Genomic DNA, 14838 nt, shown 5'->3' with positions numbered 1-14838 from the left:
CATGGGGGTAGGCACCTGTAATCCCAGCTACTCAGGAGGCTGAGGCAGAGAACTGCTTGAACCCAGGAGGCGGAGGTTTCAGTGAGCCGAGATTGCGCCACTGCATTCCAGCCTGGGCAACAGAGCAAGACTCCATCTCAAAAAAAAAAAAAAATCTGGAGGTATTTTGAATAAAATATGAAGTAATTTACATATACAAGAAACACAATACACAATGAATAATATAATAAACTTTCATGTATCCATCATCTAGCTTAAGAAATAAATTACTGCCAATGCAGCGGAAACTCTCAGTATACTCTTCCTCAATCACATCCTCTTTCCTCCCTCTACCCTCAGAAGGCAACAATTATCCTGAATTTGGTGCTTATTATTTCCAGACATTTCATTATACTTTTATATAGATAAGTATTTATGTGCCTAGTAAGATATTTACTGAAATATCAATGGGTTATCTGTATGGTAGGATCAGAGGAGACTTCTAGTTTGTAGTGGAGGTATTTTTTCATGTTCCTTATATGTATTTTCTAGTTTTCTACAATAAGCATTCATTCATTCAACAACAGTTGATTATGCACCTACCATGTGTCAGGCACTGTTAAAACAAAGTCTCTGCCCTAGTGGAGTTTGTATTCTAGAAAAATATATCTATTAGTACAATTGTTTTAATATGTAAATTACAAACAGGAATTGCAATAGTCAGTAGTCCCAACAGCATGGAATAAAATAGGAAGGTGACTCCACAGAAGGAAGATAAGAAAAGAAGGAGCAGGGGATGAAAGCACAACTTGTCTATTTCATATGGACATTTTTCAAGTCCTTCTCAAACTTCCATTTCCCCAAACTGGGCTCTGCAGTTCTTAATATGCCTGGAAAAGGGGAACTTTTCAGTTTTCATACAGAGTGTCCCATTTAGGGACCACTACTACTCAAATATACTGGAATCATCTTTATTATAAAGAAACTTGGTACAACAGTTTTAAAATTACACAATTTGTAAAGAAATCTGGGGCTAGGTGTGATGGCTCATGATTGTAATCCTAGCATTTCGGGAGGCTGAGGTGGGAAGATCACTGAGGCCAGGAGTTCAAGACCAGCCCGGCCAACATGGTGAAATCTCGTCTCTACTAAAAATACACAAATTAGCTGGGGGTGTTGGTACATGCCTGTAATTTCAGCTACTGAGGAGGCTGAGGCACAAGGATAGTTTGAACCCAGGAGGCAGTGGTTGCAGTGAGCCAAGGTCATACCACTACACTCCAGCCTGTGTGAGAAAGAGTCTCAAAAAAGAAAAAAAATTAGAAGAAATCTGAGCCATTGATTTAAATGATAGAATTTCTCTGTTGGTAGTCATGATTTATAGCATGGTGACAAATACTGGCAAAGCAGGTGCTAATAAACAGTTGAAATTTATATTAAATTTAAATTTCTTCTAAAGGTAAAGCCTTCCACCATGTGAGGACGCAGCAAGGTGACGGGCTGTCACCAGAAACTGAATCTACAGGCACCTTCATGTTGCAGAAATAAATTTCTGTTGTTTAAACAAACAAATACATAAAAGTCAAAAGGAGAAAGCAGACAGCAGACTCCTTAAAGTTGTGAATAAAAATAGCACTACAAGGGTTGCATCGATCTTTTGCTGTCTGATGGGAATTTGTTTTAATAACAAAAATCACAAAGATCCCATCATCCTTAGCAACTTCCTGGCTTCCCAGTAACCTGAGCTGGTCTTCTCGGAGTTGTTCTACTACTCAGCTGCTCAGCCAGTGGTTGTGGCATGGACATTGTCATCACTGGAAACCACACCACCACCTCCAAAATCTGAATTTTGAGCCTCTCTCCAGCTACAGCCTCCAAACCTTCCAGCTCATCTACTGCAGAATCCTTATTGCAACATTTATTTGTGCTCACGAGGCTTCTAATTAATTAACCGATCCACTTTCTCTCTATCCTCCACACCTTCCTGTCTTCACTTCCACCCTTGCCCACACAGATTCCATGGAATTTTGCAAATATTCTTAACTCCCTTTTTTCACTCTCTCTTTCCTTCCTTTTCTTGTCTGGCAAAACCCCAATTTGGCTGACCTCAAACATCTACCTTATCCATGAGAGCCTTTGAGCAGCTAGATAAACTGGACTGAAGGCATCTACATCTGGGCTAACCAATTTCATGTAAAATGTGTGACCACAAGTGCTAGATGGGCACTCAACACTGCCTGGGGACCCAGTTACATTTCCTCAGGGGGTGTGCCTTTCCTCTCCTTGAGACAACTATTCAAACCTCCCCTACTTACCTCAATCTGCCCAAACCCTTCTCCACCAGACTCAAAGTTAAGGGACATATTCTGCATTTAATCGAAAACACAGAATGCATGAGATGCTCCCAAGTTACTTTTCATCAAAATTTCAAACCCGTCTGCATCTGCACCATTTGGGCTATCTTCCTTTGAAAATGGAAGAAATATCCCTCCTGCCTTTAAGGAGTAGTTCTCCTAGTTCCATTCTCAAACCCCTCCACGTTTGCCCCTTTTTACTACTTTGCTTCTAGTTATTTCTCTTGTACTTCTTGCACCACAGATCTCTTTCTTTCTACTAGGTCATTCCTATCGGTTCACAAATACGTTCTAGTATCTCCCATATTAAGAAAAACAAATTCTCCCTTCACTCTGTCTTCATCTCTTATCTCCCTCTGATTCATGGCAAAACTTCTTAAAAGCAGTCTGTAATCCTTCATCATACCCCACCCCTCAGGCAAATTCAACACTCTCAGCCCCTCTATGCTTTTTTTTTTTTTTTTTTTTTTTTAAACCTTCTCTCTTGGCTTCTGATCCCACATTCCTTTGGTTGTTCTTTGTCTTCAACTTCCTGCGCCAGGCTTTCTCAGGTTCTTGGCTGCCCCTCTCCTTGCCTTCCTAACTTCTAAGTACTCTGGCTCTCTTTTCTTCTACACCTGCCCTTTCTTCCTAGGTAATCACAGGCATTCCCACTCTTGTAAATATCACCTCTTCAGCAATGCTTTCCTGATTTTTATGTCTAGCCTAGACCTCTCCTCTAACCTTCACACTTGCAGTAGCTCCCACTTCTCTAGGTGGCATCTCCACTTAGATGTCTCACCCTGTGTCTCAAACTTAGCATATCCAAAAGGAAACTTGATTTCCTATCCCAAACCTGCTCCTCAGCCTGTCTTTGCCATTTAGATAAATGATGTAATGATCTATCCGGTTGCTCAAGCCAACAACCTTGGAGGCATCAGTGATTTTCATCCACACTCATCATTATGTGTCAGTGATTCTTGCTGCACAATATATTCCTATCTTGCAGCTCTCTTCATAGCCTGCATCATCTGGTTCAAGCTGACACACCCATTCTCCCTTTAATTCACAGCAATATCCCCACAGGGCCAGGAATAGGGTGAGGCAAATGAGTTTCCTAGGGTACAATATTTAAAGAGGCATCCTGAGAGTGAGTGCCTCCCTTACCTCATCCTAATCCCAGTCCTGCCTCAGTTTATTTCATGGTTTACTCACCCTCCCCCACTGCACTCATCCACACTACAATTCTTCCTCTTCCTCCCTGGAAAATGCTAAGTTTTCTGGCCTCAGGGCCTTTGCACCTTTACCTGGTACACTCTTTTTTTCTGCTTATCACATGGCTGTCTCCTTCTCATTCTCTTGTCTTTTACTAAATTTCACCTTCTCAGTAAGTTCTTCCTTGACCATTATATCTAAAATAGACCTCCCTTCCTGGCTGGGCACAATGGCTCACACCTCTAATCCCAGCACTTTGGGAGGCCGAGGCAGGCAGATAACTTGAGCCTAGGAGTTCCAGACCAGCCTGGGCAACATGGTGAAACCTTGTCTCTACAAAAAATACAAAAATTAGCCAAGCATGGTGGCACATGCCTGTAGTTCCAGCTACTGGCGAGGCTGAGATGGGAGGATCACCTGGGCCCAGGAGGCCAAGGCTGTGGTGAGCTGTGATCTCACCACTGCACTCCAGCCTGCGCAACAGAGCAAGACCCTGTCTCAAAAAAATATAAAAATAAAGATCCACCTTTCAAATTAATCCCTATTGCAGTATATTTAATCCACCACAATAGATATTGCAATCTATAATTATTTTTCTATTTATCTACTTATTTAATTCCCATCCCTACCCCTCAAAATAATTTTACAAAGCTCCATGAAGTCAGCACCTGTGCCTGTTAATGAACCACTGAGTGCACATGGCTGGATACCTGGTCTACAGAATTAGTTTATAAATATTTATTAAGTGAATGAATGATAAATGGATGTGTAACTGAGCCAGATTAACCTCCCAGAAATTCACCTTACACAGAAAACTTTATAGAGATAATGTTTCTAGAAAAGCATCTTACCCATAAAGTAAGGAACTACACAATAGACACCGGATTAAAATCCCAGCTGTACCACTTACCAGCCACGTGACCCTGGGCAAGATTTAATAGATTTTTTCACCTACTGAAAATGAAATAATAATAGACCTACCTAGCAGGATTGTTATGAGGATTAAATGAGATAGCTGGCAACATTCTTACTTAGCATAGTGTCTCATGCTTATAAACAAAATGAATTCTTATAAGATACTTGTCTATGAAAACTGGGGAGACATGGAGCATGAACCACCATTTTTTATATATAAAGAAGATTCATTATCAGGAATGCAATTCAATCTTTTTCACTAAATATACCATCTATTATGTGCCTGTCTCTGTGCTAGGCACCTGCTGAACAAACATGAATGAGGCATGGTTCCTGTCCCCCAGGAGTCACAGGGTGTCACCATGTCACAGCCCTTAGAGCACAGTGTAGAATACTTGGCATTGTTTAACTTAGGAACCACACAGCCCATCCTAGTCTCTCTCCCGTCCACCTTTGTGATTAAGAACATGCTTGATCAGGCTGAGGCTCCACCCTGGGTTCATAGGCCATCCTCCTTCTCTTCGGGCATCTACCTGGCCTGATCTGAGCAATCTTGAAAGCTCCATAGCCAAATTTTAGCTCACAATATTGCTCAACATTCATTACTAGCTTCTGAAATAGTCTATTTTCAAGCCATCCCCACCCCACCCTACTTCCCATCACTTGGCAAACTCAGACTTAGCCATCAGGGAAACTCAGCTTTGACATTCAACTTCCAGGAAGCTATTCAAGATCCCCTAAGACCGCTTTGAGTGAACCTCATTTGCACTCCCTTAGCAAGTAATTTGCACTCCCCTGCCACAGCCCTTATCACATTGAATTGTTTTCTCTTTCTCCATTGGACTATGAGTTCCTTGGAAGCAGAGGATGCATCTTATTCGTGTCAGCATACCTAGTGCCTGGAACATATTAGGTGTTTCACAAATTATAATAAATAACGATATTTCTGTTTTCATGATTCAGGGTCTTTGGGAAATTGGTCAGGGTGTTGGGGGTGGGGCAGAAACGAGATGGTGGGGATAGGGGACAGAGGAGAATGCCATGCTGCTAGGCACCAACTATACAACAGATTTCTAAGATGCTTATGGGAATATTATGGTATGAACTCAGTTTATAAAAGAACAAATAACCACCTATGTTGGCACATTTTCCCACACATTAAAATAAGAGGATGAATTTTTTTAAAAAGGGATGAGGGGCAGGCAAAACATTCATGTGGAGTCCAGGCTAGGAAGCTCCCTTCACTTTTCCTTAAGCCAGTTTCAAACTACACCTCAAGATCCACGTGTGGGAGGCTGGGCATGGTGGCTCATGCCTGTAATCACAGTACTTTGGGATACCAAGGAGGGCGGATCACTTGAGGTTAGGAGTTCCAGACCACCCTGGCCAACATGGCGAAACCCCATCTCTACTAAAAATACAGTAATTAGCTGGACATGGTGGCACATGCCTGTAGCCCCAGCTACTCAGAAGGCTGAGGCACAAGAATCACTTGAACCCGAGAGGCAGAGAGGTTGCATTGAGCCAAGATCGTGCCACTGCACACCAGCCTGGGTGACAGAGCAAGACTGTATCTCTAAAAAGCAAAGCAAAACAAACCAACAAAAAAGATCCACGTGTGGATATAAAATAATTTAATGTGCTGCAATCATCATTTAAAAAACCTAAGCATAATAGAACAAAGTGAAAGATTAGCACATTGTTATAATAAATATTTCACAGGAACTTTAGATATATATGTATATATCAGGATGTAACACATTTCTTTTTTTTTTTTAAATCTTGACTTGAAACTCTTTACACATTTCTTATTGAATTGTGGTCAATGAAAATAGAGAAGCTGGCTGGGTGCAGTGGCTCACGCCTGTAATCCCAGCATTTTGGGAGGCCAAGGCAGGCGGATCACGAGGTCAGGAGGTCGATACCATCCTGGCTAACCCGGTGAAACCCCGTCTCTACTAAAAATACAAAAAATTAGCCGGGCGTAGTGGCGGGCGCCTGTAGTCCCAGCTACTGGGGAGGCTGAGGCGGGAGAATGGCGTGAACCCGGGAGACGGAGCTTGCAGTGAGCCAGGATTGCGCCACTGCACTCCAGCCTAGGTGACAGAGCGAGCCCCCGTCTCAAATAAAATAAAATTTAAAAAAATTGAGAAGCCACTGCCTAGTATATGCCTCTAAATTGGACCTCTGCACCTAGTGGGGCAGCAGTTTCCCAGGAAGAGAACTCTAAGGAAGGGGAGAAGAGAGGTGACTCTCTCCACTAAGGGGCTCTACAGGAAAGATACAGGCCTTGAAGGGTAAGCAACCATCTGTCACAGACCTATGGTAGCTGGGGAGAAGTGTTAAACTCCTGCTGGAGACCAGAACTCTCAATCTGCCAACATCTTACCTTGCAGCGTGGCCACTAGCCCAGTACTAACTCCCGAAATGACGTCACTAAGCAGCCATTCCTTGACTCGGTATTTGGGGAGCCACTCCAAGATGGGCACAAGAGTCTTTAGCACACCAAAGGCTCTCTTTCTTGAACAACTGTCAAAAAGCAAGAAAACTGGGTTTTCAATCCAATCTCAGTCACAACCAATTTGCAAATCACAAAGTTATGAACTGGATTCTGCTGATGTTTATAACTATTTGGAAAAAGGATAAGTATTTCCTGGAAAATAATAACCCTGAAGTGCTTACCATGCTTTTGCCAAGAACTGTATCTATCCTTTTAAATGCACTCTTCTAGAGAACACAGGATTAAGTGTCCCACCCCTCGCTCACATTTTTAATCCTCTGAAAAAATATTCCTACACAAAAACCTATTTTCTGGTCCAGCCAGAGACTGATGGATGTGGAGTCTCTAAATGGAGATTACTTTTCAGACTCCTAATCCAGGCGCCTTATTATTATTATTTTCTTTAAAGAAGATAAACACACTGAGTATATTTTGGCAATACAAGCCTGGAGCTAGTTTTTACAAAAATCTTAGCATGAGGAATGTATACCTTATACCTTGCTACTTGGTAGTTTTTAAATTCAGTGACCTACAGATGAAAGAAAAATATCAAAAGTAGGTGGTATAACTCCTGATTTGAATAAATTGTTTTTTAATTAAGGCATTTATGGGACGATTGGACATTTTAATAATGACTCAATTTTTGATATTAGGAGGTTATTTTTAGATATTAAGGTGTGATCATGAAATGTGGTTATATTTTTTAAGAGTCTTTAAAGATATGCAGTAAAATACATAAAGACAGTATGCTATATGAGATTTGCTTAAAAATAATACTGGAGGGAGCAAGTAGGTGTAGATACAAGAAACAAGAGTAACTTGGATTTGATCACAGTTGAGGCCGAGTGATGGGTTAAAAACGGTGGGGGTGGGGAGTTCATTATACTACTACGTCTACTTATGCATATATTTGAAATGTTCTATAATGAAAGGTTTTAGAAACTCTAATTTCTTTATGTTTGTGACATCTAGTTACGGCATGTTTGGGTTTAGAGACTGAGGGTGGCTTTCCCCAGGGGTCCCACAGCCTGCTGATGAAGTACTTGGCACACCCCGCGCTCCCCTGGGTTCTAGCTTGCATCCTGGTCTCTAACTGAATGGTAGCCCGCCTACTTAGCTTGAGTGTTTCAAGGACTCCTCCTGGTCAAGAGCTGGGTTTCCCTATTCATTTCATTTAAACAAGCTCCCAAGAAGGCAACAGGGACCCACTGTACCCCAAGAGGCACTCCAAGTTTCCTTCAGAGAGGAAAAAGAGAGACGGGGCTCCTAGAACCCACTCTCCCCAAAGGCGAGTTTCCCAGGTAAGTTCATTTCGGGCCCGAGACTGATGGAGCCACCCTCCCACCAGAAGGGCGGCGTGGAGGACCGGAGACCGAAAGTCGGGCCTCTGGGAGAAGCAGCTGGCGCCCAGGGGCTCCGCCGCCCGCACCCCACTCTCGCCCGCTGGGGACGCCCTTCCCTCCCCAAGGCGTGGACGCCCCGCTCCGCTTCTCTCTACGCAGGCCCGCGCGGCCGCTACCTGCAGCACTTGGCCAGGCTCTCCCGCAGCGTCTTGCGCTCCTGCAGGCGCCGCTCGTGCTGTTGCTGGAAAGCGAGCTCGCTGTAGACCGGCCGCGACACCATGTAGCTGCAGCTGTACTCGGGGAGCTGCGGCGGCTCCGACCTGCCGCCTGGCGCTGCCATGACCTGCGAGCCAGAGGACAGCGAGGAGGGAGGACACGCGGTAAGCGAGGACGATCGGAGGGGAAGAGCGAGGAACAGAAAGAACGGGATCACCTGTTAGCTGCAGCCAGGCCCCCCTGCACCGCGAGTCTGGTCCGCGTCCTGCAGCCCTCGGCGCTCGCGACAAGCGCCCCACGGCGCGCACGGCCAGCCTGCAGGGGGGCACCTGAGAACCTTCGGGTCTCGTGGCCTGCACCCGCTGCCCGGGGTTCCCCAAACTTGAAGCGAGTAAGCCCCTGCTCTGGGGGCTTCCCGAGTTCCACCCAGTCCCCTATGGCCCGCAGCCAGGGCGCTGTCCGCGTTCTGAAATCTCCCCCAAACCGAGGGGCTGGGGCAGGGGCCAAAGGCGCTTGCAAGGCTGGAAGGGGACACTGAGATTCCCTCCCTCCCCGCACCTGACCCGGGACGCAGCTCCAGGTGCGCACTGGAGGAGAGGTGCAGACCCCCGGGCCAGGCGTGGAACCGTCAGGGCGCGCTCCGCGGGTCCCCAAGAGGCGGACGCTGCAGGCACATTCCAGCAGCTGTCGCAGCCCTCTCGGGGGCAGAACTTTCAGCTTATTGAGCAAGTCTCTCCCCTCGTCCTGTTTTCCGAGCAGCCTGTTCGCTCTCGGCGTCTCAGAAAGAAAGCTGTACTGCCCCCTGCCCACCTGATCCGTGACCACTTAAGAGTCCCATCCGCAACCCTCGAGGCCTCCCCGGGAGTGGAGCCCGGGCCGGGCGGTGTGGGCATCTTCAGGGCGAACTCACCTGTCTCTGCTCGCGCCCCGCCCGGAATGCCCCGCGGACTACCCTTCCGCTGCCTTTATAGCGCTCTCAGAAGGCAGTGGGACGTTTTATTTACGGAGCAACAGACACCTTGGTCGAAGGGAAAGACACACACAGGCTGCGGTCTTTCCCAACCGATCCTATCAGGAAAGAAATCCTACCCCTCCTGCATTCTTCCCCTTTCCCGAACCGGGAAGGCTGAGACTCTTACTGGCTGCCACGCAGGGGCCACCCGGATCCTCACTCATCCCGTTACTAATCTCAAGGGTTGCGAGGTCAGGGGCGGGCCAGGCCCTGTGGGACTCCTTAAAGAAGAGCAGAGCCCGCCTAGAGGAAGAGGTCCGTGGTCTCTGGGAGCCTGCCACAGGTGCTCTCATACCACATGGGGAGGAGAAGAGGAACAATGGCCAGGTTTCTATATTAATAAGTCCTTGAATTTCTAGAAAGTCTTTTAGGAGTATTCAATGGGTGGAGGATACAGAGAGTTCACGATTTACTCAGATTTTAGCCACTTATTCTACGTGTGCATGTGTGTGTGTTTTATTTCACAATCCAAATCAAGCCGTCCAGGTGGCCCTTTCTTACCCACTAGACTCTGTTTTTTCTTTTTCTCATTCTCCTGGACAATCAGGGAAGGAATAAACTGGACTACATGGAAATCAAGACTAGAAGAGAGGGAGGAGGAGCTGGAGCTATCCTACCTCATCAGTGTTTTGTCTTCTGTTGGGATGAACTTTGTTAAAACTAATGCATGGTTAAGATGAAAGGCAGAAGGAAGGGTTTGATAAACCAGAACATTCTCGCCTGATTGTTAGTGTTCTGAAGTAAATACAGAAGAGGCTCCAAAATACAGACCTCTGTACATCAACCTTCCGTAATCCACCTGCCTTGCATATGCAGACCATGACAATTCTACGAGCTCCTGGAAACAGAACTCAGAACTCCTCCCCAGAGAACCCTGATGCAAATTCTCTGAAATGGTAGTCAGCATGTGCGTTTTCCTGAGAAGTGAATGAGTCAACAGCTTTCAACAGATCTTCAAAGGCTTACTTCACCCAATGAAGTTAAGAACCACTAAAGAAGAAACCTAAAAGGAAAATCCAGGTCATGAACTTTGCAATTTTTATTCACATACAGAGAAGAGGGGAGGAATCTCTTGTGTATGTTTTACTTATGTATACCACTGGTTCTTAATAAAGGGCTTTTTTTGCCTCCAGAGGTCAATGCCTGGAGACATTTTTGGTTGTCACACCTAGGGAGATGCTATTGGGATCTAGTGAGTAGAGACCAGAGATGCTGCTAAACATCCTACAATGAAGTTTGCTATCACTCCAAGGTTTTGCATGCGACTTAAACTGTACATTTATTAATCAATTGCTACATGTACTAAAATATGTATCTCTCTCCATATATGTATATATGCGTGTATTTTTTCATTATTGTTGGATGTATAGCTCAACTCCACTACAACAGAGGAAAGTATTTGTTTTAAAGTAGAATCTGAATATACTCACTCTGTATACCCTCATCCATACCTTCAAGATCTGGTGAAAACACTATCTCTTGCAAGAACATTCTTTGATGCTGTTCAGAATTAATCCAGACCCTTTTCTGTATTCTCTTAATACCTTATCTGATCCTCTCTTAAGTTACTTCTCACTATCTACCTTAGTAACACAATTTTATTTACATACAAGTTCTCTCTCCCTCACTAGACAAAAACTTCTTGAGGGCAAGCACTGTGTCTCCTTTCAACCATTATTATCTTCTCTCATGTTTTTTGAACAGATTTATCTATAGCCCAAACATACCTTTTCAAAAAACTAAAAATTACTTTACATATTTGATCTAAGGCTTTGTTTTTCTCCATTAAGAGCATGCTGTGGATATCTTTGCAAGTGAGTGCATAAGGATTTTTCTTAACCTTGGAGATGGCTGTCTAGGATTTCAGAATATCAACTCATATTTGTAGCTCCATGGCAACTCACCTACACAACTCACAACTCTTTATTGAAGGCATTCTGTACCAATATAAATATAGTCCATATCCCATTCTAATATGGATTTCTGCTCCTTGTTGCTTGCTATTTTGAACACTTTTAGTCTGGTCCAGTCAGGCCTATAAACCACTTTGCATCAGAACTTGGCAATGGTTTGCTGGTTCAGAGGATTAAGGAGTGGGGTAAGGCTGGCAGAAGGACAGAAGAGAAAAGACTTGAGTAACAACAGGAGGCAAAAGAGTAACTTAGCTTGGCTAATAGAATTCTTATTTGAAATGCATCTCTCTATATAAGAGTTTGGTTCAATAATCACAATATAATAAGTCCTGCATGTATCTGGATGAAGATAATTGCTTTTTTCTGTTCAATGCTTTTCCATAGCAGAAATAGCTGGGGCAGAACAAAATGGTATCTCTGTTACAGGATTCTATAAGGGTATAGAACTGCTTTTCTCATAGGTAAAAGGCAGACCGTTTGAATTTGGCTTTTTAAAAACAGAAGAGTAGGAGGAAATAACAGCTTGCTCTCTCCACCCTATTTAATTGTGATATTAAACACCTTAGATTACTCACTTGGGCTTTATAAGGCAACCTTCTCCTGTTTCACACAGAGGTGGGTGGTTCTTATTTATCAGACTTTTAAAATATTCAGGACTTCTTTCCAAAGAAATAGATGCATCACTTAAAAATAAATATCAGACAATATTATTGATACTTTACAGTACTTATTTAGCAGTTAATACTTTTTTAAAAGGCATTTTCTTATTTATCATTTAGGCATTTGCAGTGTAAGACAAACTCCCTTGTTTGATTACGCATTCACCTGTTCATTCATTCATTCATTCAAGGATTTATTAGGAAATTATTTGTGCTGGCTGTGGGTACAATGATGAACAAAAGCTTATACCCTGGCCTCATATTTATGGGTGCAGTAGACACTAATCAAATGGTCACAAAATGTGTATCTTATTTCACTGATTATAAAATACAGATTTTTCACATTTTATCAGGGTTCATGTTATAATTGATGATCTACTATATATTATAGTTTAATTGATAGCGTATTTTGTGATTCATAAAATGAGTTTTATAATAGAATTCTATAATTAATAAAATATAGATATTTACATAAATTTATAGTGTATCTATGCCTTTTTTTTCTTTTTTAGAGATGGGATCTTGCTATTTTGCCCAGGCTGGACTTGAACTCCCAGTCTCCAGAATAGCTGGGACTATAGGTGCACACCACCACACCTGACAGAGTATCTATGCTTTTGAGTGACTACGTGTGCTACAAGAATGATTTAATTGAATCCTTCGTTTATTTAACTTAAGAGCAGTCAATCTTGCTACATTATTTTTGTCTGAGAGCGAATATTGTGGTATAAATTTTTTCTTTTTTTTTTTTTTTTTACAATTTAAAATGTTCTCAAATCAGAAGAATTGCAAAAGAATGCAAACATGTTGGCTGGGCGCTGTGGCTCACAGTGTAATCCCAACACTTTGAGAAGCTGAGGCGGGAGGATCACTTGAGCCAGGCCTAATCCTGAGCTTTTATTTCATTATGCGTGTTAATTTTCTCAAGATAGCAAATGCTAAATTTTTGTCATACTTATACAAAAAGAGAACTGAACTGAACTTTCTTTCTATATTTCTGATCTCTTCTTCTCTGAGCAACTTATTGGGCTTATTCTCAGTAATCATACAGTTTTGCACTCAATTGTTTTCTTGGTTTTTTGTTGTTATTTTTATCTTGCACTCAATTGTTTTCTATTTGTTTACTGTATGCTACTTTATTTTCTTCTCCAGTTATAAGATATGCTCCCTAGGGACATAAATAGTATATGTCTTTTATGGTGTTACAAAAATAAGATGTGCCTGTAGTAAATAATTTGGAAACTACATTAATGTATAATATAGTAATCACATTTTATCTCATTATCCAGATAATCACTGTTTTGCTTCTTTTTTTATTTATTCTTTCTATGCAGACATAGGTATACATTTTTATTAAAGTAAAATTATAATGCTAGTCTCTTTATTTCCCTACACAATACCTTGACAAATTATGACAATATAATAGGTACCAGACTTGTTAAATTATTGATCAATTGATTGTTTAACAATGGAATTTTGAGAAATATTTGGGTAGAAAAAAAACTAGTTTTAAAAGAAGAGAATCCAACCATTAAAACATCAAAAAATGAAATTATTTGTAAATATTATGTGGCAATCCATTCAATTTTAAACAACTTACAGTGTCAATAAAACTATAACTCAATAAATTTCTCAGGCAGAGCCCATCTGCCTCTTCTTTAATATGAATGCAAACTTGATATGTGGTTTAGTAAATTGCTAGAACGAAATGATGGCATAGTTTTGGGTTTTGAGGGGTTTTCTGTGTGTGTGTGTGTGTGTGTGTGTTTGTTTGTTTGTTTTAAACAGGGTCTGGCTCTGTCACCCAGGTTGAAGTGCAGTGACACTATCTCAGCTCACTGCAACCTTCACCTCCAAAGCTCAAGCCATTCTCCACCTCAGCCTCCCAAGTAGTTGAGACTATAGGCATGTGCCACCACACCCGGCTAATTTTTGTATTTTTTGTAGAGACAGGGTTTTGCCATCTTGCTCAGGCTGGTCTCAAACTCCTGTGCTCAAGAGATCCACCTGCTTCATCCTCCCAGGGTGCTGGGATTACATGTGTGAGCCACCACACCCAGGTGGGTTTCTTTTAATGTTTGTTTTAATGATGATTTTTTTTTTTCAAGAGATGGGGTCTCGCTTTGTTACCCAGGCTGGTCTCAAACTCCTGGGCTCAAATAATCCTACCACCTCAGCCTTCCAAAATGCTGATTATAAAATGACATTACAGGCAGGAGCCAACTGCACTTGGCCTGGATGTTTTCTTTCTTTTTTTTAGAGATGGGGGTCTCACCTCAGTCCCTGAAGTAGCTGGCATTACAGGCCTGTGCCACTATGTCGAGCCAATAATGGCATAGTTTTCTAAGCAAAGAATAATTTCAGGATCCTTCCAAATTTCTTATTATTTAAGTGTATTGCACTTTTAAAGTTATCCTTGCATATCTTATCTCATGAAATCTGTGGTTTGTTAATGGAGGGAGAAAAGGGAAGCTTGAGGATTGTTTCAAGTAAACACTGATGTGCTGTGTTACCACGAGTTGGATGTTTAAGTATTCCATTCATTCGTTTAATTATTCATTCATTGATTCATACATTTATTTACTTACACCATGAGTATTTAGTGAACCCTTAACTTGTATCAAACACTATCTAAGTGTCGGGGATACAGCAGTGAACAAGTTTGTCAAAGTTCCTGCCTTCAAAGTACTTCTAATGGGGGACAGTGATTATCAGCAAAAAAAATAAATCAGATAACATTCTGTTGTGACGAA

At 42.4% G+C, this 14838-nt stretch overlaps 1 protein-coding gene and 1 long non-coding RNA gene across 2 annotated transcripts in view; one reads left to right on the top strand and one right to left on the bottom strand.

Moving 5' to 3' along the window:
• Nucleotides 1-9439, bottom strand: part of SLC26A4 (solute carrier family 26 member 4) — a 56982-nt gene extending 47543 nt beyond the window's left edge. The window contains exons 1-3 of the mRNA NM_000441.2: nucleotides 9412-9439; nucleotides 8462-8628; nucleotides 6832-6971 (exon numbers count right to left, since the gene is read on the bottom strand). Of these exons, the coding sequence (NP_000432.1) occupies nucleotides 6832-6971; nucleotides 8462-8625 (304 nt within the window). The 5' untranslated portion in view covers nucleotides 8626-8628; nucleotides 9412-9439. The remainder of the gene's footprint in view (nucleotides 1-6831; nucleotides 6972-8461; nucleotides 8629-9411) is intronic.
• On the top strand, nucleotides 8469-13751 carry SLC26A4-AS1 (SLC26A4 antisense RNA 1). Its single transcript, NR_028137.1, has 2 exons — nucleotides 8469-8665; nucleotides 10061-13751. It is a non-coding gene; the product is annotated as an SLC26A4 antisense RNA 1 (long non-coding RNA).

The sequence above is a fragment of the Homo sapiens genome, chromosome 7 (genome assembly GCF_000001405.40).
Source record: "Homo sapiens chromosome 7, GRCh38.p14 Primary Assembly".
NCBI classification, from domain to species: Eukaryota; Metazoa; Chordata; class Mammalia; order Primates; family Hominidae; genus Homo; species Homo sapiens.
The sequence above is the reverse complement of the archived record's forward strand: the minus strand, read 5'-3'. Positions and strand labels throughout refer to the sequence as shown.